We start from the raw sequence: 24,574 nt of genomic DNA, 5'->3' as shown, positions 1-24,574 counted from the left end.
AACAAACGCATTCTGGGTGAAGCGGTGACCTCAGTATCCAAGTAAAGAGAGACTGCTTCCAGCTCCCTCTGGCCGCTGCCCTCCCCCACTCCCACCACACACGCCCACGTGCTGCCATGCGTCCAGGTCCCTGTGGCAATGGCTGCAGAGTGTGGCAGACAGGGCCCTTCATCTGCAGGTCCTTGCCCCGACTTGGGGTGGCAGGAGCAGACACGGCAATCTCCCGGCTCAGGAAACAAGAGACCACCAATGAGCTCACACCAGGCTGGGGCGGGGCCAGACGAGTGCTCAGGGGACAGTGGTGCCTCTGCCACGCCCCAGTGTGCTGCTCTGAGGTGGTTCTGTCTCCGCAGGCACCTCCCCAGGTGCCGAGACGCCACCAGCAGCTCCATCACACGAGGCAGCCACCAAGTGCCTCTTTCTACAAACCAGTGAAAGCCCTGGGCCCTAAGTGGGTGATGTCCGTGGGCTCCATGGAATGACAGTCGGGGGAGAGGGGAAGGTGCATTGCCCAGAGCTTCCAGGTGCCCATGTCCTTCACACGCATGTGCTTCAAAGATGGCAGCACCCTCGTGTTGGTGTGGCTGTTGCACCTCCCTCCCAGCCACACCGCCCCCACCCCAGAGGGGCGACTCCGAGTTGCACCCACTCCTAGCCCAGGTCTAAGAGCTCTGGGTGGGGTCCAGTAACCTACAGCCAAGGAACGCGCGTGAGCCCACCTGGAGCCAGGGCACAAAGGGGTGGGGGGACCACAGCAAAACTCTTCTGGCAAACAACAGAGGCCACAAATCCAGGGTTCAGTTAACATTACTGGACCAAGCACCCAGTTTGTTTTTCTAAGTGGTTGGGGAATTCTGAAGAGGATCAGTTTAAAAACAGTATAGACCCTGCTGCATTTTCTCCACTCAACTCTACTGTCCCGTCTCGCGATCATGCTACACTTGCAGCCCCGTCCACTCTAGATCGCTGCCCGGCCTCCCCACGCTGTCAGATGCTGTCTCTGTGAGAAGCCCCCTCCTCACTGCTTTCCCACACAATGGAGCCATGCCCCGTGTGAGATGAGCCACGCGGGCACAGGAGTGAGGCTGGCAAAGCGCACACCAGCCTCCCCCCAGGTCTGCCCCTGCCCGGGCATCTGGTGCCCCCAGCACGTGAGGCGCCCCGGCTGCTGTGCTGGAAAGCATGCCTGTCACTTGGGCCCAATTTCCTCACCTGTCTTGTGGGCTGGGCTTGCTATGAGGCTTGGGACACGGGAGAGCACGGCTGTCGAAAAGATATGCCCTCTGCCTCCCATGTCAGCCACGCGCTGGCTGTGCCTCATGGGGCAAGTTGTGTCGCCTCTCTGAGCCTGTCCCTCGCCTGTAAAATGCAGATAACCCACCATGTAAGGCTGTGAGGGGAATTAGAGGAGTTCGTACATTCAAGGTACTTAGACCAACACCTGGCACAAATTATAAAGTGTCAGCCGTCAGCATCCCGATCACCGTAATAGCTCGTACCCTTCGCACTGATTGGTTTAGTCATGAGTGCGTGAGGCAGTTCTAGCCAAGACATTAGAGGAGGTCGGCTGAAGCCAGAGCTTCGGAAAGGGCTCCCTTTATCTTAAAAAGAGACACACATAGGATCGCTTAACGCCAGGAGTTCAAAACCAGCCTAGGAAGCAAGCGAGACCCAGTCTCTACAAAAAATTTTACAAACTAGCTGGGTATGTTGTCATGCACCTGTACTCTCCGCTACAAGGGAGGCTGAGGTGGGAGGATCACTTGAGTCCAGGATTTGGAGGCTGCAGTGATCTACGATTATGCCACAGTACTCCAGACCAGAAGACAGAGCAAGACCTCATCTTCAACAACAACAACAAAAAGAGCAGGTGACACATAAAAGAGGCAGCCATTTGTCCCCAAACACCTTACACTGGTGTGATGCCTGGAGCTGTGGTGGCCATCTTGCAACCATGAGGCCTGAAGTCCTGAATGGCCAGAGAGGAGAATATACACCAGAAAAAAAAAAACGGGGGGGTTTGTTACCATGGAAGGAGTGAGGAAGAGCTGCTAGGGAGGCAGCCAACACTCCCGGAGCACATGCAGCCCTTCTGTACCCGACCAGCCTGATGGTGTCTTCCATGAATGCAGTCCCCATCCCTCACTCCAGGAAACTGGGGAAGACAATTCAAGTGGCCTTGATCGTAGACAGTTCCCTTGGAAATAAAAGTACCAAGACAAAGCAGAGAAGTCGGAGAGCTTCAGGTTTGCAGTTTTATAGAAAAGATTTAAGAGGGTTAAAATATTCGTTAAAATGGCCCTCATTCTCCCGGGCCAAGGCTGTGTGGTCACACCTGAGAGCCTCAGCACTGCCCAGTACCCTCTCTCTCCTTGCGGAATTTTTAGTCCAACTGATCACAGAACCCACACCCTAAAAAATACAACAGCATTCTAATGGCATTCTAACGGCATTCTGATGGCATGCTAATGGCATTCTGTTTTGCTTTTTAGCCACCAACAACTCAACCTATTTTCAGAGCAGGTGAAAAACAATTCTGAATCCAGTTTGGAAAGATTCCGGCAACCAACACTTTATGTCAAAGCACAAGGAATGATGACAAAGACTCTGGCGATGGAAGATCAAAAACAGGCTTGTTTTATTTATACACAGAACAACTTATGTACAGCACTCAGGTATGGACTATGTACATGACAATACAAGAGGCGTTTGTTTCCACGGTGGTCACTATATAAATTAAGATTATAAATACGAGGGGGTAAGCCCCACCTGAGGGCACAGAACCTTTTCTCCAAGACTCTTCAGGGATCCTTCCTGCCTCTCTCTGCACAGCAGACCATGAGGCCCGTCTGGCAACACCACAAGGGGACCTGGGCCGGGGCAGCAGAGCAGCCCCCAGACAGCGAGGACACCCCAGTGCGGGACGCCAGCCCAGCACCAAAGGGCAGGTTCCTAAACACTCATGTTCATTCCTTCCTCACATTCTAACTTGTTAGAATTAGAAAAATGGTTTTTATGTAAACAGTGTTGTTCTAATCACTGACAACATATTAATTTTAAACACTTTTGATCCAAACCCAACTCCTTGCCAGGAGTAGGACACTGAGGACTTGGGGTGGCCCTGATGTCCTTGAAGCCACAGTCAGCTGTTTATCCTCCTCATGTCCCCTCCCCACCCAAGTTCCAGCTTGCCTGGGGCTTGTTCTGGGACCCTAAGAACCCCAGGATGCCCACATCGCCAGGCCAGCAGGGCCAATGGTCATGCAGGGACTGCGGGACAGGTTCCCATCATCTCCTGTGTTAGCCCATTCCACCTGGGAAACCAAGCGACTGCCGTGGCTGGCTTATTTCTCCCTCTGCCAACCCCCATCTACAATGTTCTGGGGAAAACAATGAGAGGTGGAAAAGGTAACATACAACCACCTTCCACCCACATCACTTCCAGTGAGGCAGCTAAGTCCACCAACAGAGCGTGGGAGAGTCTTTCATCCAAAAATCCCAACACGTCGCATGCAGCGACAGGAGGCTGTGCTGGGGAAACCCAAGGCCTGGCTCAGCCTCCATACTCTAAGGGCCTCGGGCCAGAACGACCACGAGAGGGGAGCACCCAAAGGCACGCAGAGGGGCCCACCTGGGTGCACTGCAGAGGGGACAGAGGGGCTGTGAGTGGGAGGTGGGCCAGTGCTGTTCACTGCCGCCTGCTCAGGACCAGGGGCTGCTGCAGACCCAGCCCGGTCTATGCCCACCCCCGCAGGTGCAGCCCAGCTTCTGCACATCAGATGGAGTGACGCTGACTAAAGGACCTGGACAGCGCCGGCAGATACTCCCAACACTGTCCTTCTCTTTGGGAGCCAAAGAGAAGCCACGGCAGATACTCCCAACACTGTCCTTCTCTTTGGGAGCCAAAGAGAAGCCACGGCCAGGCAGCCAGGCCAGAGCCATTTCCTCCTCACACCAGGGCAGGGGTTACAGAAACCTCTTCCCAAGACATTTACAAGCACCTCTGAGCCATGACTATCAACGGGAAAAAAGGGCAAAGTCAGTGCCCTGGAGGACCAGGGGCATCCTTCACCTGGGCACTGTCCCTACGGGGCACAGCCCTCTCCCCAGGCGAGCTCCCTGCCCTCTGGCACCATCATCTACTAGTTCAGAGCCAGGACAGAGGCAGGGCAGGGGCAGCGCGGACCACCAAATCAGAGTCCCTGCCAGCACCTCCAGCGACATCACGCCCAGCAGCAGGCGACAAGAAGCCACTGCAGGGGCAGACACTCAGGAGAGCCTCCGGCCTCCAGGCCACCGGACGGGCTGAAGAGGTCAAACCACCCCTGGCCCACCAGGGCCACGCTCCCTGGGAACCACAGAATGGGCAGAAAAAGTTTCCCAGAGCCAGGAAGCATTTCCCACACAGAAACACTCATGTGGACACACATCCTCTGTCTGCAGGGATGCAGCTGGCAAGCTGTCTCACTCACACCCCAAGCTGAACTCGCCTAGAGCGTCCGGAGACAGAAGGGCAGGCGTCCCCAGCCCACAGTGGGGGGAGGGAGGAGCGGGAGGAGAGAGGATGGAGGAGGGAGGAGCACAGGCCCTGTGACACCCAGGGAGGGGCTCCCCGCCTGGGAAACAGCACCCGCTGCCTTGGCTCACGCAGGAGGAATTTTTTTTTCTCTTCACGTCAAATTACAATCAACAAGACTGGAAACATCCATGCTACTTTCAAACCAGGAAAGAGCACGATTTTTGTTCAACAAAAGCTGCATCAACAAACAGGGGCCCTTGCAGGCTGCTGTGCTGGGCCCCAGCCACGTTTCTGAGAACTGGCTGGGGGCCAGGAGGCGGAGCCACACGGTGCGGCCACAGAAGGACACACGGAGAGGAGCCCCCGGGACAATCCAAGCACGAGGCCAGGCAAGCAGTGCCCAGGAGGCCAGACGCCGCTGGATTCCCTGGCCCACAGCACAGGCGGGCGAGAGCTGAGTGGCCGTGACACATGTGCCCCAGGTGACTCTGAGCTGGAGAAAGTGTTGTTTCAAAGGTAGCTGTGTTGTTATGTTCGAGACCCCAGAGCTCTGGTGGACGGTGTCACGGAGGCTTTCTGTAGCTGACAGAGGAAGTAGCACCATGAGAAGGGGGCGGGCTGCAGCATCTGCCCAGGGCCTCAGTGGCAGGAGGCGCAGAGGCCACAGGCTGAGAGGGCGGAGGCTAGGCCTCGGCGGCGGGGATGTGGAGGCCACAGGCTGAGAGGACAGAGGCTAGGCCTCGACGGCGGGGGCGCTGCGGCTCAGCTCCTTGATGCCACACAGGATCCTCTTCATGTGGCCCACCTTGGTCACGCCCAGGTCCTGCAACAGAGAAGACACCGCCATGGATGCCGAGAAGACAGCCAGGGCCAGAGGGCTCCACAGCAGGCCTGCCACAACGGCCCTTCCCATTCGGCTTGTGAACACAAATGAGAGCCAAAATGACAAAAACGGTAAAACAAGATGGAAACAGCTTAAAAGTAACAACCATACAGATGCCTGGCCCATTGTTCCTGCATTCTAGTCACTACCATCAGCAAGGACAAATCCAAGACAAAGACAAAACACAGGCCTAAAAGCAAGTGGATGACAAGTGACCTCATGAGAGCCACTGTCCAGGACACCCACAGTGGCCTTTTGCCCTCTCGGGACTCAGCCAGTGATTCAACACCCAGGGGTTGGCCCGTTGAGGCCAACCTGGGCAGGGGCATGGGCCTGCAAGATGTGGCGTGAGGCCTGGCATAGACCGAGGCCTGGCACCCAACCACCCCTCCCAATGCTCCCTGCAGACGAGTGGCAGCACCCGCCCAGGAGCAGCATGGGGACAGTCGTGTGTGACTGTGCTTCAGGGTCTGTGTCCCCTCATAGTGTTTTTAACACGAAGACAGTCCTTGTCTGAGTAGCCTAAGATAACCAAGGCTCTGCCCCCCATTATGTCTGCTCCTGGCTTCCTCTGGTTGTGGTGGGTGGAGCCATCACTGCCTAGATGAGGGCCACAGCCGCCCCCACCTGAGGTATACACGAAAGCCTGAGAAGAATCGTGATGCTGGGACATGGCCAGGTCGGGGGAGAGGATGGAAGAGAAGGGAGCTGCGTGCAAGCCCAAGTGCAGGTTCCAGGGAGACGCCTATGGAAGTACCTTGAGGTCCCTCCGCTCCAGGTGCAGGAGCTCAGAGCCCCGGATGTCGTGCCGTGTGAAGATGTCCTTATACTCACAGAGACTGAGGTGCTCCAGCCAGGCAGCAACCTCCTCTGTCCCCCAGAGGTGAACTGTCGGAGATGGAAAAGCACGAGTGCAGTGAGTGCCCAGAGCCCAGTGCAAGGTAGGCAGCAGCTGGCACCCAGCACCCGAGAGCCCAGTGCCAGGACAGGAGACGTCCCAACAGCCAGCACCCGAGACAGCCCAGCAGCAGCCAGCGCCTGAGATAGCCCAGCAGCCGGCACCCGAGATAGCCCAGCAGCCAGTGCCTGAGATAGCCCAGCAGCTGGCACCTGAGCCATCTCTGGCAGCCGGTATCCATCACCCAGCCAACAGCACCACCCACCAGCAGTGCAGAAAGAGGCACAGAGCCACCCGCTCAAGGGGCGATGGCTGCAGCAGAGCTGGCATCTGTTCCTGCCAGGTGGGCCGCCAGCCTCTGGTCATTTCCCCGTGTCCCAGGAGGGATTTACCACCACCAAATATGAGGGAAATGTCCTCATGATTGTGGCCAAAGCCAGCTTTTCCTCCAGCTTCTAGAAGGGTTAAATTTCACTTCTGGACCATAGCAGGAAAGGAAACGAGCAGAGATTTCAATTCACATAGTCAGAGCCACCATTATTAACAGAAACCCCATTTCTGGACAAACATGCAAAGAAGAAAAACCCACAGGAGCTGCCCTGACTGGCGGCAAACACCAGTCCCAATATCCAGGCTTGGAGGCCTCTCCAGCCCCTGACAGCACTGGATATGGCCTGGGTATTCAGGGCTGATCCTTCAGACAGAGAGTTTAGCTCCAATTTACTGACCCAAAGGAACAATGTCCTTCAGGACCATATTCGATTGATTTCATCACCCACAATCTCTGGTGGCCTGGGCTTCCCAGCACAGGAACCTCGACCAATGCATCAATTTATCAGGAACCAGCAGCCCAGGAGGGAGCAGGCAGGGCATGCCCCAGCACGGCCTGAGTCCAGAGCTTTGTGTCTCCAAGTTTGTCTTGTCACCACTCTACTGCTGTCTTCCTCCCCACCTCGAATCCCCCAACTCAGGGCAGGCAGAAAGCCAGAGAGCACGTCAGGGCCGGGTGTGACAACGGTCAGAGGGGAAGCAGGCAGGGTGGAGGGCTGCAGCTACCAACAGACAAGTGTGGTCGCAGGACCGGGGGTTACAGCACAGGGACCAAGAGGGAGGAGCTGCAAGGCCAAGGGAGAAAGCAGAGACCAGGGGAACGGGGCCGATCCAGCAGGCGTGGACGGCCAGAAACACACGCGGGAGAGAGGCAGGTACCCGGGGCTCCCAGGCTACTGTGAGCTTCTTTGTTCTTGTTGTTTTTCTCCTTTTTAAACTTGGTCACGAGGCGGAATTTACCACTGCGACTGCGCTTGGCAAGATCCAGCATCACACTCTGTTGGGGAGAATGAGGAATACTGAGAATCAGGCTGCAACTGATCACGGCCTCATGCCCATCTCCACCAGAGAGGCTGGGAGGGCAGGCAGGGCTGAGATGAGCGGGAGCTGGGAAAGACCTCTTGTGCCTGAAAGGGCTTCTCTCCCTTATTGATTCTTGTATTTAGTGTTGATTTTAGTGAGTGTTAAAGTGGTTTCAAAGTGATCATAGTGTCTATTTTTATCATATTCTACTTCCTTCACTTTACATGTGCGTTTCTCATGAGATTTAAAAACTTTTTGAAAATATCATAAATATCAGTATCTAAACAAAAATTATTAAAATAACCTCTTTAGCCAATCTTCTAGTGTTGGATTGCTGGGCTTTGATTCTTAGTATTACGAGTATCTGTCTAATGAAAACTCTCCTGCACTTTGCATTCTTTCCTTGCGATCCACTCCCTGAGGCAGAAGAGCAGAGGAAGGGTGAAGAGCGGAGCCACACAGAGGCTCGGCCTCTGCTCTTGACAGCCATCGGCGGCGGCAGCCTCTCCACACAGCACTCCCTGAGATGCACGGAGGTAACACTGCCTCACTCTGTGATGCACTCTTTATAAGAGACACTCCAAATAAAGCTTGAAAGTAAAACTATGAAAAAATATAGCAAGCAAGTAGACTTGAAGATAAAAAGAATTACTAAAGATAAAAGGATCATTATATAATGATAAAACCTATGGGTACCCAATAACATAGCCTCAAAATACATGAAGCAAAAATACACATAACCACAAAGATAAACTGAGACATCTACAATTATGGTATTAGAGTTAACTGATCTATCAAGAAGACAAAAAAAATTTCAGTAGGAACTTAATGATGTAAACACAACTGCATACAAGATACATTTACAAAAACCACCTATTGGGCAAGTCTCACCTCAGTACATTTCAAAGGACTAGTAACATACAGACCATTGCTTGGAGCACAGTAAAATGAAGTTAGGGAATAAAAAACATAGTCTTGAACAGCTAATTTAGATGCTTATTATTTGGCACAGTTTCGTGACTATTATAACTGTCATAAGTTGATGACTATACATAACAATTATTGTATTTTACCAATGTAAAGTGATCCTCTTTTTATCATTTATTGTCTTACATATGCAATTTTATTTTTATATTGTTACTTTGGATTTTTTATGGTGTTTTAATTATTATTAATCTTTCTGTATCATAAATTTTTATTAGGAGTATGAGAAAAAAAAACAGGGCTCTTGTGAGCAATATATGGTTAGGTTTCTTTTAAAACACAACCTAAGAATTTACTTTTAAGAGAAAGCCATGTCATTTTTCTGTTATCTTATTTTCATGCTGTTAGCGATACCCTTGCTGGTCCTTTACTTTCTTTTACAATATAAATTGTATTTTATTTTTGTCCTTGGTGGCAATTTGGAAGATATAAATCTTTTCAGCTCTATTAGAAATTACCTTTAAGTTTAAAAAAAAATTTTTTTTTAATAGAGACAGGGTCTCACTATGTTGCCGAGCCTGGTCTTGAACTCCTCGGCTAACGTGATCCTCCCACCTTGGCCTTCCAAAGTGCTGGGATTACAGGTGCGAGCCACCACTCTTGACCCTAAAAACATTATTGACTCTGTATTTCTCCAAGTATGAAAGTCAAGAATGTTGTTTGTAACGTTCTTCCACTGTAAGAGGAGGAATTTAACATGCTTTCCTCCCCCCGTCCATGTCCTCTTCCCAGCCTCTCACCTCACTGCCCACTTTACTGGCCTTAATTTAATCTGGTATTATAGGGCTATGTCACTGTGACATCTGTTGAATCATTGTATATTATTATTTTTGTAATTTTGGGTAAAATTTCTTAATCACCTTTACAATGAATTATTTAATGGATTTTGAGGAGCTTGCCCTGTCCTTTTATACCCAAGTGCCCTCACTGAGAAGCTGCTGAGTTTCATCCATCGGCTGGAGTGCCTGAGTCAGTTTCCCATGAAAGGATTGCATGCGTCAAAAAACGCCCCAGGGCCCCGGAAAGAGGGTGCTGTTGTGCAGCTGCCCACCTCTGTCCCCTCGCCTTACTGCTGCCCACAGGTCTCACAAACCCCACTGGGCAGGGGTGCCCAGGTTTGGCGTCTTGCAGTTATTTGCCTTCTGCAACTGTACTGCCCAAGATGAGCTTTCCTCAGGGCCCCTCTGTGTTCTATCTCTGAAGCAGGGAAGCCAAGAGACAGGCTGGGGTTTGTCCTTGTCCAGACACGGCCCTCTCCAGGGCTCCTTCAGCCAGCACTCCCTGCAGAAGAATGTGACTCCACCCCAGGGTCCGCTATGCCCTGCGTCCTCGGGTCCCTCCCAGACCTGCGACGAGCTGGAGTCTTTCTGTTCACACAGGAAGAGAGTGTGAGTGGGGAGTGGCGCACACCAACTGCGCCCTGTCCACAGCGGGATCCCAAAAGGCTGCCATTTATCCCATGATACATCTCCACCCTCGGGGGAGGCTGTGGGGCTGGGCTCAGCCTTCCTTCTACCCACTGTCCAGGAAGCCCTGCAGTTCTGTTTCAGAGGACAACAGGTCCCTGGTCCTCAAGGGGCACTCTTAATCCCAGCCCAGAACTCCTTCCTACCTGCTGTCCCTCCCTGCCTTAAAGAGCATTTTAATAGCGAAGTCTGGAGAAGGCCCCTCAGGGGCTGCCGGAGCGACACGATCTTGATCCCAGAGCCACACGGGTCACAAGGAACACAGGCACTTCAGGCGAGAGCCACCATGTCCGGGAGACCCAGGCACAGCCCTATGAGCCACATACCTCTTCGTCGCCGGGCTCTGCGGACTGGCAGAGCCACGGGGTGTCTGCCAGCCTCCTGAGCTGTCGGTCCATCTCGGCAAGAGCACTCCCCAGCTGCTCCTTCTGAGGCGGATCCAGCTGCTGCTCCAGGCGGAGGGAGGGAGAGAGAAATGGAGAGTGTGCACTGCTGATCAGCGCGAGGCCCAGGGGGGTGAGGTCCGCTCCAGGGCTCTGCTCTGCTCTGATCAGGGAGCTCACTTTCCAGAAACGAAGTCCCAGAGCACCAGAAAAGGAACCAAACCCAGAACCTCACTTTCTAAGTAGTGCTGGTGAGAGAATAAAACTGTCCATCAGTCAACGATGAATTCACATAGAGCAAGGCTGACAACTGACCTGCTTGTGTCCCTCTGTCAGAAATGGGGTCGGAGCCATTCACCTGTGTCAAGCAGTGGAAATGCTGTGGGAAGCAAAGTCAGCAGTCGAACCTTGCAGGAGGCAGCAGGAGGTGTGCAGTGAGGACACGCGTGTGACCACGGGACGTGGGACGAGGGGAGGCATGGGATAAGGAGATGCGTAGAGTGAGGATTTCTGTGGAGTGAGGTGATGCGTGGAGTGAGGTGATGCGTGGAGTGAGGAGATGCGTGCAGTGAGGACATGCGTGGAGTGAGGAGATGCGTGGAGTGAGGAGATGCGTGGAGTGAGGAGATGCGTGGAGTGAGGAGATGCGTGGAGTGAGGAGATGCGTGGAGTGAGGAGATGCGTGGAGTGAGGAGATGCGTGGAGTGAGGACATGCGTGCAGTGAGGACATGCGTGCAGTGAGGACATGCGTGCAGTGAGGACATGCGTGGAGTGAGGAGATGCGTGGAGTGAGGAGATGCGTGGAGTGAGGAGATGCGTGGAGTGAGGAGATGTGTGGAGTGAGGAGATGTGTGGAGTGAGGTGATGTGTGGAGTGAGATGCGTGCAGTGAGGAGATGTGTGGAGTGAGGTGATGTGTGGAGTGAGGTGATGCGTGCAGTGAGGAGACGCGTGCAGTGAGGAGGTGAGTGGCGTGCGGAGTGGAGGGCTGGGAAACCACACCTGGGGCGGTTCTCCAGTTGCCCAATCTTTATCAAGCCCCTTCCTCCTCATCTTTAAAACCAGAAGGCTGGCCAGTCAGTCTCTCAGGCCTCTCCCTGTTCTAGCCCCTGTGATTCAGTAACAGCCCCACAGCTGCCATATCAGCCGGTTTTGCAGGGCTGAGCATGGAAGGTGCCTGAGAGTGTGGCCAGCTCTCGGCAGGAGCAGGACTCTGCACTACAGGCTTCTAAGGCAGAAAAGCATCTTCTGTCCACGACGACAAGGGTGTTTCCGCTGCAAGCGCTTCTCGCATGCTTGAGACAACCTGACTGAGGGGTTGCCAGCAGGGGTGGGCACCAGCCGCACAACAAACCAAATGACCTCTGCGGCCCATTCCTTAAGACCGGGAACTCTGGACTAAAGTGTGCTGCCCTGTGTGCCCAGCAACCTGGCGACAGCAGTCGTTTCACACACAGCCCGAGCCCTGCTGTCCCTGGGGCACCAGCTTACCAGGGCCATCTTCCCAGACAGCAGCAGCTCCGTCTCACTGCGCAGAGCTCTGAAGTTATTCACCATTTCCAGGACGAAGCTGCAGTTGAGCCCCTAGAAGAAACCAGGCAAATATGCATGGGGGCGGGGGGCCGAACATGCACGGTTAGGGGCAGGGAACAAGCACTGGGAGGGCCGAACATGCACCGGGGAGGCGGGGGAATGAACACGCACGGGGAGGGCCGAGGGCGGCAGACACTGAGAAGAAGCCAGGACTGAAAAGGCCAGAATAGCTACCTCTGTGGTTCTGGGCTTGCCATACACACGGTCCATGGACTTGGAGCTGGCATTGACGGCGTGGGCCAGTTCCTGCTCCATGTCCCGGTGAGACTGAGCTATTTCTCGGATACTAGAGAGGAAGAGAAGCACGGGCAGATGTCAGGCCAAATGGAAGGGCAGCCTTTCACAATACGCATCTGAACACGGCCCAGGTACCACCTGGAGGGCTGATGTGGAGGGCAGGCCCAGCAGGACGACAGGGATCGTGGCTCAGCCCAGCGACCGTTCAGTCACAAGCTTGGGCACAGGATGACCCACAGCAAATGGGAGGGCTTCCACGAGAAATCTGACGTCAAAATCCAAGATTTTCCAGGGAGAGAAATGTACAAAATGAGGCTTACAACCTGTAAAACGGCCAGTGGGCAAGTGACAGTGTGCACAGGCCCACTGCAGAGACTGCTGCAGTAAGGCACAATCCCCACAGCCTTGCTGGAACCTGTAACTGGCCGGTCTGTCCCTGGGGACAAAAGGACCCTCATCTGAACAGGACAATCCTGGTGCAGTGATGGGCTCTGAGCCAGACCCCAGATAGCAGCCCTCATAGGGAAGACGGTGAGAGCACAAGTCACACCAGGTCCCAGGGAGGCTGAGATGTGGCTCAGGCAGGTGAGATCGGGGGACAGAGACTATAGGAGCAGTGCAAGCAAAGGCAGCGGGGCCAGCCTGTCCTGACCCTGTGGAAACAGGCCGCTGCCAGCAGCTTCCTGCAGTGCTGTGCAAGTGCACCTTCCAGGCAGGCCAGAGGGGCCACCATGGGCTTTGAGGGGACAGGGTAATGGCTTTCCAGGGGAGGCCACCAGAAGCCCACTGCACGGCAAGGAATTAGCTGAACTGAAGTCCTCCAGCCCCATCACTGATCTGGGTGGGGTGGGGGAGAGACGAGGACAGGGGCCGCAGTGGCACCAACTCCTGGGGCAGAGAATGCAGCGCCAGGAAGGACTGCAGCCGGTATGGAAGTGCAGAGCGAGGAACGCCGGTGATGACTGGGACAGCGACCACCTGCTCGACAAGAGCCGAAGGCTGGCACAGACGATCCATCTGCACGCCAGGGCTGGGCAGGCTGCCTGGAAGGGCACACGGCATGCCGGGCACAAAACCGACGGGTGCACCTGTCCACAGCCAGGAGAAGAAGGAGCCCAGGGGAAACAAGAAAGGGACACCAGGGCACCAGCCAGCGTGCGGCCACGGGGGGAGAATGCAGGCAGGCCCCGCACCGGCGGAGCAGCACAGCTGCCGGCTGGGAGGGACTCACAGGCGGAACCCGCACCTGGCGGGCGAGGAGCAGGAATGGCAGACAATGCTGACCACCAGCCACGAGGGACACAGTGGCTCCAGGGGTGTTTCTAGAAGGCAGGTGAGAGGAAATGCCCCAGCAGTTGTCTTTTTTTTTTTTTTTTTTAAAGTAAACTTGAGAACAAAGAGCAAGCCTGTTCTCAGGGTAAAACGAGGGCAAAGTGAAGGCGGCTGTCAGCGGGCTGCCCTCGGGAGCCAGGGCAGGGTTTTTTTGTTTTGTTTTGTTTGTTTTTGAGGCAGAGTCTTGCTCTGTCGCCCAGGTTGGAGTGCAGTGGCGCTATCTCGGCTCACTGCAACCTCCGCCTCTGGGGTTCGACTGATTCTGCTGCTTCAGCCTCCAGAGTAGCTGGGACTACAGGCGCCCGCCACCACACCCAGCTAAATTTTTTTGTATTTTTAGTAGAGACGGGGTTTCACCATGTTAGCCAGAATGGTCTCAATCTCTTGACCTTGTGATCTGCCCACCTTGGCCTCCCAAAGTGCTGGGATTACAGGCGTGAGCCACCGCGCCCGGCTGAGCCCGGGCAGGTTTTAAACGAGTGGTCCTGAAAATCACAGTGGGCTTTAGGTTCCAGCCATGTAAACTCCAGGCGAGTTCTGAAAGACCACTGGGGAAATGAGCCAGAGCTGAGGGCACATAAACAGGCTCGGCCCTCATGGGTAATGCAGACCCCACAAAAGTCAGGAGCAGCAGCTCCACGCCCCAGGGGCCTTGGAAGAGTGCAGTCCCAGGGACCCTGGGGGAGGCTCATGCGCAACGCAGAGGGGTAGGAGCCCACCTGTGAATGAGGACCCCTGCTGCCTGCCCAAACTGGTCCATCTGGGTGGCCTCCTCCTCGGACAGCATCTCCGGGTGCAGGGAACAGGATGGAGGGCGGGGCAGCTCGCACTTCTGCTTGTCTTCCCAGGACTTCAGGGTGCTCTCAAATGCCTATGGACCCGAAAGCCCAATTACACCTGCTGCTCTGAAGCATGCATCTGACTGCGACAGACACTATGGGGATGCCAACGAGATCACAACTAGAAAGAGACAAATAGGACTTTTTTTTTTTTTTAACATTAGGGGAAGGAGATGGTCCTAGAAATTACTGCCCTATTAGCTTAATCATTGTGTCTTAAAAAAAAAAAAAATCCTAGAACAAAACACAAAAAGCTCCAGCTCTTAACAGTGCACACAAGAGCCCACAGGTGAGCCCTGTACCCCACCCAGGTACCGCGGGCAGCCGCTCTTACCCTGTCTCTGGTCAGTGTCTGTGCCCGGTTCTTGTGGACAATCCGAATGTACCCTGGCGGCTGGACCCAGGCCTCTCCGTCCACCTGCACAGGCACGCCCTCATCCCCAAGGATGGAGATCTTCACCGTGCGACACTGAGCAGACATCATAGCCATTACTCATGCTGAGCCAAAACCCCCAGGGGTTTAAAAGTGCTATCAGCACCACCATGACCTTCCTGCTCCACACACCCGTCCCTGCCTTGCAGGACACCCCACCTCTGCCTCTGGGATGGCGCTCCGCCTGCAGCTAGCCTTCTGCTGTTGTGTCACTCAACCGAGGGTCTGTTCTCCCACTGTCCCGCCCCATCCCGCCCCATCCCCTCACTGAGCAGTCAGTGCAGGAGACCTTGGTGCTGAGACAACAGGTGTCAGAACCCAGGGGCAGGGGTGTTGTAGCTCCCAGAAGCCACTGGGCCCCTGCCACGTGAAAACACCCCTAGAAAAGAGCAGATGGCACAGTGGATGACGATGAGCCATCCATCATCATCCCGTTCCTCCTTTTCAACAACAAACATTGCCAAAGAGTGAAAATTGTGAACTTCAAGCAGCCTACAGCTAAGGGTAGACAGAGTGCTGGAAGACACCAGACAGTCGCAGGGTGGGGTTCAGCCAGTGGGTGTCATCAGCACCCTCCCCCGCCCCAGTGCCTGTGCCTGGGTACAGAGTCCTGCCCCATCCTCACAGAAAGACTGCCCTCAGCCCATCGCTGCTGTCAGAAATAAGCCATGGGGGCACCCCCAGCCCTTCACCACTCGGCCTCAGAACCATGATCGAGGGCCCCAGCTGGAAATCCTCCCACACCCCACATCAGAGCCATGGGCTCCGTCCCCACTGCGGCTTTGACAGCTGCAGACACGGGCAGAGTCCAGCCTGGGTCTGCTCTATCTCATCCCACCTCAGAGGGGACAGGCAAGGCTGTGGTTCAAGCAGGATACACATTTTGAAAGAGTTATCTTGGCCGGGTGCAGTGGCTCACACCTGTAATCCCAACACTTTGGGAGGCCAAGGTGGGTGGATCATTTGAGGTCAGGAGTTCGAGACCAGCCTGGCCAACATGGTGAAGTACAAAAATTAGCTGGGAATGGTGGTGGGCACTTGTAGTCCCAGCTACTCGGAAGGCTGAGGCGGGAGAATCACTTGAACCAGGGAGGTGGAGGTTGCAGCAAGCCGAGATTGCACCACTGCACTCCAGCCTGGGCAACAGAGCAAGACTCTGTCTCAAAAAAAAAAAAAAAAATTAAAAAGAGTTATCTTGAGAATTTAACTGTCAAGCATAGCACAAGGAAAGGGCTCTGGCCCAGGAAGTGGGGCCACGAGCTGTCCAGGACAGGACATGAGGCAGCCACATGGCCCTGGAAAGCGCCCACCCTCCCAGGCTCCATGCACTGCCCCAGAATTTAGCACACTCCGGGCTGGGGACTCGGCCAGACACCCCAGGACCATGGCCACTACCTGGGCGATCCGATGATGCTGTAGCCTGATGACTCGAGAGACGGCCATCTGCATGCTGCCGAACACGGCGACCACCTCCAGAATCTTGTCATCGAATGATGGAGCTGCGAAAGTCTGCAAGGGACACGTTAGAGCTGACCACCACTCCACACATCCCCGAGCACAGGCCGCCCCTACCCTCACTCCCTCCCTCTGGGGGTCAGCCCCTCCTAGCTGGCGAGAAGTTACCAGGTAACTGCACTCCTGACGGGCTTCATGTTGCAGGCCCTGAAACCAGCTGCCTGGGACCAAATCCCAGCTCTCATCTCGGCAAAGTTACTGAATCTCTCTCTCCCCCATTTCCTCATGCGTAAAATGGGGAAACTAACGGCACGCTCCTCCAGGGCCATCAGTAGGGCCAAGTGAGTTAACGCTGCAGAGTGCCAGGACTGGGGCCAGCACACACCACGTGTGCAGGAAGCGCTGAATACTTCTATTCGCTATTACGTACAAAGGAAGGTTTAAACCAGGTTTAAACCTATCAACACCTTCCCACAGTTCTTAACACAAATTCCAAACTTCTTCCCCAGCTCACACAGCCCAGTGTGACCCAGGCCCTGCAGCCCTCTCCTGTCTCTCCACGCCCCTGCTGCCCACTGCAGTCGGGGCACCTCTCTCCCATCCTCCATGTGCCTGCCCTGTCTTGACTCTGAGCCTTCATCTGTGCAATTCTCTCTGCCTGGAACAGCCTCCCCCTCTCCTCTGCCCACCTAACTTAGCCAACTCCAACTCATCCTTCAGGTCTTGGCCTCCCAGACACCTTCCCTGACCCTCCTTCCACGTCACACCCGCTGACCACATCTGCTGACCACAGACCCTCACTGACCACCTTCACTGACACAACTGCTCTGCTCAGCCCTCTAGACGATGAGCTGGGTGGGGGACCCTGTCTATCTTGTTCTCCACGGCAACCCCACTGCTGGCACAACAGAAGAGCTGGATCCACCCCAGCCACAGCAGAACACCCCCCTGCTCTCAGACAGCTCTTCCCCACTGAGCTCAGGCCCACCCGCTCACACCCCATACATACATCATCTTCCTTGGTACCCCCCCAGAAGTTGGTTCCTCCGGCATAGCTGGGAATGTTAAGGACAGCAATTCCCTGAAGACTGGGGAGTGGGATGGGTCGCCCGTCACACTGAGCAGCAGAGACACAGAACAAAAGAAAAGAGAAAGGTATGAGTCAGCCCCTCCTTCTCTACCAGCTTCCCACCGCCAGGGGCTCAGGAGCACAGCCGTGGCCAGGGCATCCCCAGGCAAGTCCCTGTGCATGGAGGAAATGGTCAACAGGAGAAGCAATAGGCCTGGCAGTCTGCTGATGGATGGAGGCCAGCCTGCAGGTGACAAGGACCCTCCCACTCACCTCCAGCAAGACCTTTTGCTCCAGGTTCTTGTAGGTTCTGTGCAGCAACTCTTTGGTTCCAAGAACTCCATACCACATCATGTTCTTGGTTCGGCTCCTAGAAACAGAAGCAAAGACTTGCCATAGGTCTGGGCTTTCTTCGTATAGTTAACCAGAGTCATTTCTGTGAAAGCTGGGAACAGCATCTGACCCACAAATCAGCTACATTTAGCAATTATTTACAGCAGTAACATCTGAAGGACACATTTTTGTTTTTGCAGATATGCATAAAAAGATACGTTTACCAATAGGAAATTTTGCTCAATAGTAACATTTTGCCAAGAAAGTAATCATACCCTGAAAGGTAAATACATAAAGTTAAAACATTATAGAACCCTATAAAAAAACTTCTACACATCCTGATTTTTTCTGGCTAAAAAATTATGCTTACCATAGAAAAACTGGAAAATATAGAAAAGCACCAAGGAGAAGACACTCCTCATAATCCTCCATGCATAATCCAGCACCTGTAGGCACCCTCCACACGTGCTAATGACAAATGCCAAGTGCTGCTATGTATTTCCTCAGTCTTCTTTGCATATTAATTTCCAGTTGCAGTAACTTGTTTACAGTTTCACGACCTACTTGGTCCACTTTACCCTGCGCCGGCAATGCTTCCTTCTGTGGCCACACGCTCTCTGCAGATGTGGCCATCCTCAGCCGGGCACTGCTCTACCACAGCTTATCGAACCAATCCCCTTGATTACACTCCTCCGCCCCATGCCTGAGCTCTGGAAATGACACGCTAGGAGTCCCTTCGTACCTACGTCAACCAACATTTCCAATGACTTCTGCAGAAATTTCCAATGACATTTGTACAAGTGGAATTTTTCTCAGGAGAACTTTTCAAAGCTCTCAATACAAACTCAAGAGAGGTTTGACCAGGGTTCCAAAGCTCTAGAAATGTATTATGCATGCCCCTGTTCCTCAACTACTTATTTTACCCTGCTAAAGTATGTGTATTTTAATACTTTTCCCAGTGATTTTTGGACTAACAGGGATTTTTAAATGATCTGACGTTACCATCCTGTGCTGTACAGGGATATGTCCCTGGGGCCCCTGAGCCATTTTCTCCTGCATGGAAGAGCCTCAGAGTCAAAAGTTCTTTCAGTTCTGATGCTTTTGTTTTCCTAGAAATTTTCAACTACATGTAACCTGAGCAATGACTAAAGCTGGACCCTCAGGTGTCAGCATGGCTCCCCGCAAGGTGGCAGTGACGCCATGAGGAGGGCGAGGCCACAGGGGGCCACGTGGCTTGGTTCATTCAAGCCCATCCTGACTCAGCGGACGAAGACTCCAGCAAGGGTCTCCCAGCTTCTGGGTCAAGGGCTGTTCTCTGCACAAACACCGTCAACCCCCACACTCATTTCTCCCTCTCTGTAGTTCTAATCATGTCAAAGCTGAATGGCCTCTCTGATTATTACTGTGGGGTGGGGAGGGAGACATTTCTCCCTCACTTCTTGTGTTTCACAGACAAGAGAGAATTCTACATCAGCCCAGGAAGAAAAGCTTGAGAAGAGGGACCCTTCTCATTTTTCTCCATCCTCTCTTCAGGCCAGGACTGAGTATCCAGTAATTTTAGAGGAAAAAAACTGAAACCCCCAGTGATGCCCCTTGGGGCTCCCACGCTCCCGTCTTCCTGCAGAGGTTGGACTCAAGGGCCTTGTGGGCAGGCTCGGGTGTGATGGGGGAGGGCCAGCTAGGGTGGTGATGAACACACAGACCCTCCCACAAACAATGCTGGGCACTTACGCAATAGGTGCAATAGCTTCTTGGCACACCTGCCGCTTTTCTGTAGTATCACGGACTTGGGGCTCTCATTAAGAGATGCCGCCATTCCAATGACCACCATCACTGGTTTTCCGATGTTGAATTTCCCTTGACCTGGCCAGCCCGAGAGGTGCTTCCCTTCCATCTCTGAAAGCACCCGTGCTTCTGACAAGGCGATCTGGGCTCCATTTCTGCCCCCCGCCTTAGCATTCTGCACGTTCTTTAACCTGCTGACTCCAGAAATCTGCTACTGTCTGGAAGGAGAAGCCACAAAGACGCAAAAGACAGACGTGCTCCTGAGCCTGTTACCTACCTGCACTTCTCTGGGTGCTCATCGCGCTTGTTGTTAAAGTCCAGGGATATCTTCGCATCCAGGCCAATGCCAAAATAGTTGTTCATGACACATTTCTCCGTGTAATACTCTCTGCAAAGGTGAGTTTTAAATCAATTACAACAGCCCTGCTGAGCAGTCTTATTTCAGACTCCCAACCTCTCAGCATTTCTCTTCCTTGGGGAAAACTGGTAACTTTTTCTTTTTTGTCTGCTAAGAGATTTATTAAGATATACACTAGATAATTTACCAATTTAAAATGTACAATTCAATTATTTTTAGTATATTCAGAGTCATTTAACCATCACTAGATAATCGATTTTAGAGCATTTCATCCCCCTAAAGAGAAAGCCTGTACTCCTGCCATCAGCAACTAACTCTCCATCCTCACCATCCCTGGCGCCTCTCGTCTACTTTCCACCTCCACGGAGGCGCCTCTTCTAGGCAGTTCACAGGAATGGGATCATGCGGTCGTGGGCTCTGTGTCTGGCTCCTTTCTCTTCCTCAGGACGATGTTTTCAAAGTTCATCCATGTTATAACATGTGTTAGCGCTTCATTTTTATTACCAAATAATACTCCACTGCGTGGCTAACCTGCATCTATTGACCTGCTCATCAGCAGACGGACACTGGGATGTTCCACGTTTTGGTTATCATTTAGGAACATTTGCATACAGCTTCTAGCGTGGACATGTTTTCAGTTCAATCCCACATGGCCCGGCAGTTCTGCGCCTGCTGGTCACACAGCAGCTCTGGGCTGAACCTCCGGCAGAGCTGCTGGACTATTCCCCACAGCAGCTGCCCATCTTACACTCCACCAGCAGCACCAAACCTGAAGATATGTTTATGGCACAGAAACTCACACATTTCAACTCTGGATCTCAAAACATTTCTCAAACATCCCTAGTTACAAGCAAAGCTGTTGCCAAATTAAAAAGGAAAATGACTTGAAAACATCCATCCCAGCCCCACAGCACAAGGCTTCCTTTTCCCCGTGTGCGACAGACGAGAAGAGACTCATTCAAGTTTCTTCTCCCCACCCAGCTGGAAGTCCTGCTCCTGCAGCTCCCCCAGCTGCTGGGAAAGCCCAGCCTGGCCTTCACCCTCCCCAACCCCAGGGTCACACTGGGGTTTCCCCCCGAGGGCAAGTGGATGAAGGGAGGAACCCCTGTTCCTCCACCCAGAGGCTGCAGCCAGGAGAAGAGGATGTTCTGGAAGTTCCCAAAGAAACTCAATGGGTGGATGGGCTTGGGAACATTGCTCGGGCCAGAATTCTGACACACTTTAGCTTACTGAGCCAGTGCCGCCAGATCTGAGAACAACCAGCATGTGTCAGTGTATTTATGATCCATCTAATTCAAGTGCCCGACAGCTGAGCCAGAGCAAAGCTCTGGGACAAAACTGTTTACCAGGGGGAAGACCAAGTGCCTGGCCAGCATGTATAGGTCCTGGGAAAAGAGAGAGATCCAACGGAGAGAAACAGGACAAAGAGATGAGGGAAGGCAGCAGAGACTGGGCTCAGGGGCCTGGAGCAGGAGGGGCGGCAGTGGCTGGGGCAGTGGGAGAGGACAGGGTACCAGGGGCTGCTCAGGCCCAGCTACAATGGGGCCCACACAATACGGCCCAGGCACACACCACAGCAGGAAGGCAGCAAAGCACAGCTTTGTCTCCCCAGGTGAAAAGAAGAGATGAGACCACCCAGCTGAGCAACAGAAGTGGAAGTTCCAGTCTCAGATGAAGGAGACAAAGGAGATATCCAGTTCAGGGGCCTCTAGGGACAGTGCTCACTATAGGACTACAGCTCTGGCCTCCCCAAGGAAAAAAGCCTCAGGAGGGCTGAGAACTGGAGCCCCACGCAGCCCCAGGGGAGGAGTAGACCAGGCCAGGAACAGGGACACTGAAGTGCTGTACCAGGCCAGCACCTGGAATCTAGGGGTCCACTTTCCCAAACCCAGAGCCTCTGTGAACCGCACATTTCTTCCTGTCACTGTCCGTCACCACTCCAGAAAAATGGCTGGCCACATTTAACCAACTGCCACCAGCTGCCCAGAACCTGCAATCAGCCAGCATAAAGATGAGTGCAGAAAAACAGGTTTTCAAAACACCACTTGTCTCCAAAATGGACTCCAATACCTAGGAAGACTGCATTAAACTGCTATATACATGTCCTCACTGCCTTACAGGCCAGCAGAGGAAGAAGGCCTTGTCCCCCAAGGAGTAGCAGTATCAGCACGCAGGCACGCAGCAGCCCTTATAAGCCTCAGCACAGGCTAGTGTCTCCCTAAGGTGCTCGGAGACACAAGGGAGACACACAGAGGACCCTCCAGCTCAGAGTCTGTGGTTCTGCATCACCAACAAGGAGAGCAGGTGTTAGAGGAAAGCAGAGGGAAGGGATGGCAAGAGGAAGATGGCAGGCTGTAAGCAGAAGTCAGTGAGGTCCAGCCAAGATCATGGGAGAGTGACCACGAAGAGCAGCACAAGGGCAGCTCCTGGCAGGAGTAGCTGAGCCTGTGAAAAGCCTCAGAAGGGCATGCAGGCTCAGGGGACGTCAAGCAAGCACCGTGGGACCTTGGGAAGGAGATGGGAGGCGTGCGCTTTGCCTCTGCAGCAGATGTGCAGTAGTGGTTTCCAGCTCCACTCCTTAAGTGGAATCTCCACGACTTCTCAGCCTTCCTTATCAGCTACCACCAGCTGGGCAACTGCTCACTAATTTCTCTAGTTAATCCTGAGATCTGTTTTCTATGCACTAGCAGCCATGTAACAATATGCCCACTCGGTTTATCCCTCATACTCACAGGGTTTCTGGTTCAGAGTTGAAGGGATCAGCATTAATTAACAGGCGACTGATGACTGAGCCACCGGGTAAGGAACCAGACATTCCAGCCCGGACATCTGTAAAGGAGATACAAGAAAGAGGTGGTGCTGGTCAGGAGCTACAGCCTTAGGAGAAGCTCGTGTCTCTGAAGCTGGTGGACCGGTATTCTGCAGAACGTTATTATAATTAAATGTTTCTAAAATTATGTATAACCATGTCCAAATTTTGCCAATAGTCTTAGGTCAAAAATCACTGGAACAAAGAAACCATACTGGGTGGCAGAAACCAACACCTACAAAACACACAAAAAAATGGCTTCTAAGGTGTGTGCCTGTGGTCCCAGATATTTGGGAGGCTGAGTGGGGAGGATCACTTGAGTCCAGGAGGTCAAGCTGCAGTGTGCCATGACCACATCACTGCACTCCAGCCTGGGCAATAGAGAGAGACCCTCTTTTAAAAAAAAAAAAAAAGGCTTATAGAGTCAGTTTTCATGTTCTCATTAAATGTAAGCCACTCCACCAAAATGATCTCTGAGAGTTGAGGCTTAAGGCTTTATAAGGCTGCCTTCCTAAGGAATGAATATCAAGGAATGCTCCAGGCGGCCAGGACCTCACCCTCCCTGCGCCTCCTGCGACCACGCTAGAAGCACGGGATGGTCCCTCGGGTTCCCTCATCAGGCCGGCCACCTCCCTTTTCCACTCAGATAATTCCTTAATTCTTCCAACCCCGACTCGAGCATCACCTCCTCAATGGCGCCTCCTGGGCTCCTTGGGTGGTTATTTGGGTACTATCTGGCTTTTGTTTTTTGTTTTTTGTTTTTAAAAAAAAAAAAAAAGCACTTTTCATACAGTCGTGTAAATTTTTCAATTCCACCTATCTTTCTCAGGGGCCTGTAAACTCTCCGAGGGCAGCGAGCCCATCTCTTTCAGTTTGACGGGACCAGTGTTGTGCTAGGGCCCCCACCAGTCCCTCCTGCTGGCCGCCACTCACTTGGGTACAGGATCTTGGTGTTGAGCGCAGGCAGGCCGTCCCGGCTTCCCGGCTGGGGCGGAAGGGAAGCAGAACTGCCTAGGGACAGACTCCCTTTGCTGATCAGCTTTTCACACGGAGATTTCGACACTGTAACAACACAGCAGAAAACCTTACAGCTGTGTGGAATAGAGACTGTGAAATCCTGGGGGGTCCTTAGCGACACGAGCAGGTGGGAGGGCTGAGGAGGGAGGGCTGCAAACCACAGGCAGTTGCGTGAAGTGTGTGGGACAAAGAAGGGGGCGGAGGACCGAGTGGGTGCACATGTTTGGGGGGCTGGGCTCATGGAGAGGTTAACACAGGCCACAGGTGGCAGCGCTGGAGGGAGGGGTGAGCCCAGTCAGTCCGGGCTGTGGGAGGCGGAGCACACACACAGCAGAGCTCTCAGTGGTGGCCATGCAGTGGCCATGGGTCAGTTCTGAGCATGGGCCTCCCAGCAGCCTGCACAGGCTGGGGGTGCCCTCCACCAGGGCCTGCGCTGTGGGCTGTTCCAGGAGGGGCAAGGACAAAGAAGGCCCACGCTCACCCACCCGCCTTCCCTCTGCCAGACACAGCCCCTTCTGAGCAGTTCTGGGGCCCAGTGTGGTTCCAAGGAAGCAGTGAGGGCAGGACGCAAGTGCTCCTCAGGGAGGCAGTCCTCGCCCTGATGGAGGGGGTCTCGCGGGTTCTACTGCTGTCCACCAAGACAGACCGCACACACCCACCTCAAGGGCGCGCACAGGAGATGCACAGAAACAGGCCTTGGGCGCTCAATTTTTATGTAACCAAGTGGCCAAAGCAACTATGAGAAAGTGCCCTAAAACCTCCCCTGGCAAGCCCGCTACGTCTCACCAAAACCAAGCACACGACGGTGCGCAGAGGGAGGTGGAGGCA

General features: G+C 53.6%; 1 protein-coding gene across 18 annotated transcripts in view, besides 3 other annotated features; it reads right to left on the bottom strand.

Moving 5' to 3' along the window:
• Nucleotides 257–856: an enhancer, noted in NCBI's record as "H3K27ac-H3K4me1 hESC enhancer chr2:234382503-234383102 (GRCh37/hg19 assembly coordinates)". NCBI's record gives its function as "activates a minimal SCP1, AML or CMV promoter by ChIP-STARR-seq in primed H9 embryonic stem cells {active_cell/tissue: H9 hESC(primed)}" and the evidence as "EXISTENCE:reporter gene assay evidence [ECO:0000049][PMID:30033119]".
• The window catches only part of DGKD (diacylglycerol kinase delta), a 117,605-nt gene continuing 95,645 nt past the window's right edge, over nucleotides 2,615–24,574 (bottom strand). For 13 of the 18 annotated variants that reach the window (NM_152879.3, XM_017005138.3, XM_011512028.4 and 10 more), the window contains 14 exons: nucleotides 23,663–23,791; nucleotides 22,653–22,749; nucleotides 19,840–19,950; nucleotides 17,718–17,814; nucleotides 17,385–17,492; nucleotides 16,316–16,429; nucleotides 14,822–14,956; nucleotides 14,368–14,519; nucleotides 12,254–12,365; nucleotides 11,978–12,070; nucleotides 10,430–10,549; nucleotides 7,510–7,627; nucleotides 6,160–6,290; nucleotides 2,615–5,342 (listed from right to left, as the gene is read on the bottom strand). In NM_152879.3, coding sequence (NP_690618.2) covers nucleotides 5,253–5,342; nucleotides 6,160–6,290; nucleotides 7,510–7,627; nucleotides 10,430–10,549; nucleotides 11,978–12,070; nucleotides 12,254–12,365; nucleotides 14,368–14,519; nucleotides 14,822–14,956; nucleotides 16,316–16,429; nucleotides 17,385–17,492; nucleotides 17,718–17,814; nucleotides 19,840–19,950; nucleotides 22,653–22,749; nucleotides 23,663–23,791 — 1,607 coding nt within the window. In that variant the 3' untranslated portion in view covers nucleotides 2,615–5,252. The other 5 variants (XM_047446097.1, XM_011512029.4, XM_011512033.4 and 2 more) reach the window with 4 other exon arrangements.
• Nucleotides 6,579–6,794: a silencer, noted in NCBI's record as "fragment chr2:234376565-234376780 (GRCh37/hg19 assembly coordinates)". NCBI's record gives its function as "represses an EF-1alpha promoter that drives an FKBP-Casp9 reporter gene in an ReSE screen in HepG2 liver carcinoma cells {active_cell/tissue: HepG2}" and the evidence as "EXISTENCE:reporter gene assay evidence [ECO:0000049][PMID:32094911]".
• Nucleotides 23,455–24,018: an enhancer, noted in NCBI's record as "H3K4me1 hESC enhancer chr2:234359341-234359904 (GRCh37/hg19 assembly coordinates)". NCBI's record gives its function as "activates a minimal SCP1, AML or CMV promoter by ChIP-STARR-seq in primed H9 embryonic stem cells {active_cell/tissue: H9 hESC(primed)}" and the evidence as "EXISTENCE:reporter gene assay evidence [ECO:0000049][PMID:30033119]".

The sequence above is a fragment of the Homo sapiens genome, chromosome 2, assembly GCF_000001405.40.
Source record: "Homo sapiens chromosome 2, GRCh38.p14 Primary Assembly".
In the NCBI taxonomy this organism is placed as follows: domain Eukaryota; kingdom Metazoa; phylum Chordata; class Mammalia; order Primates; family Hominidae; genus Homo; species Homo sapiens.
The sequence above is the reverse complement of the archived record's forward strand: the minus strand, read 5'-3'. Positions and strand labels throughout refer to the sequence as shown.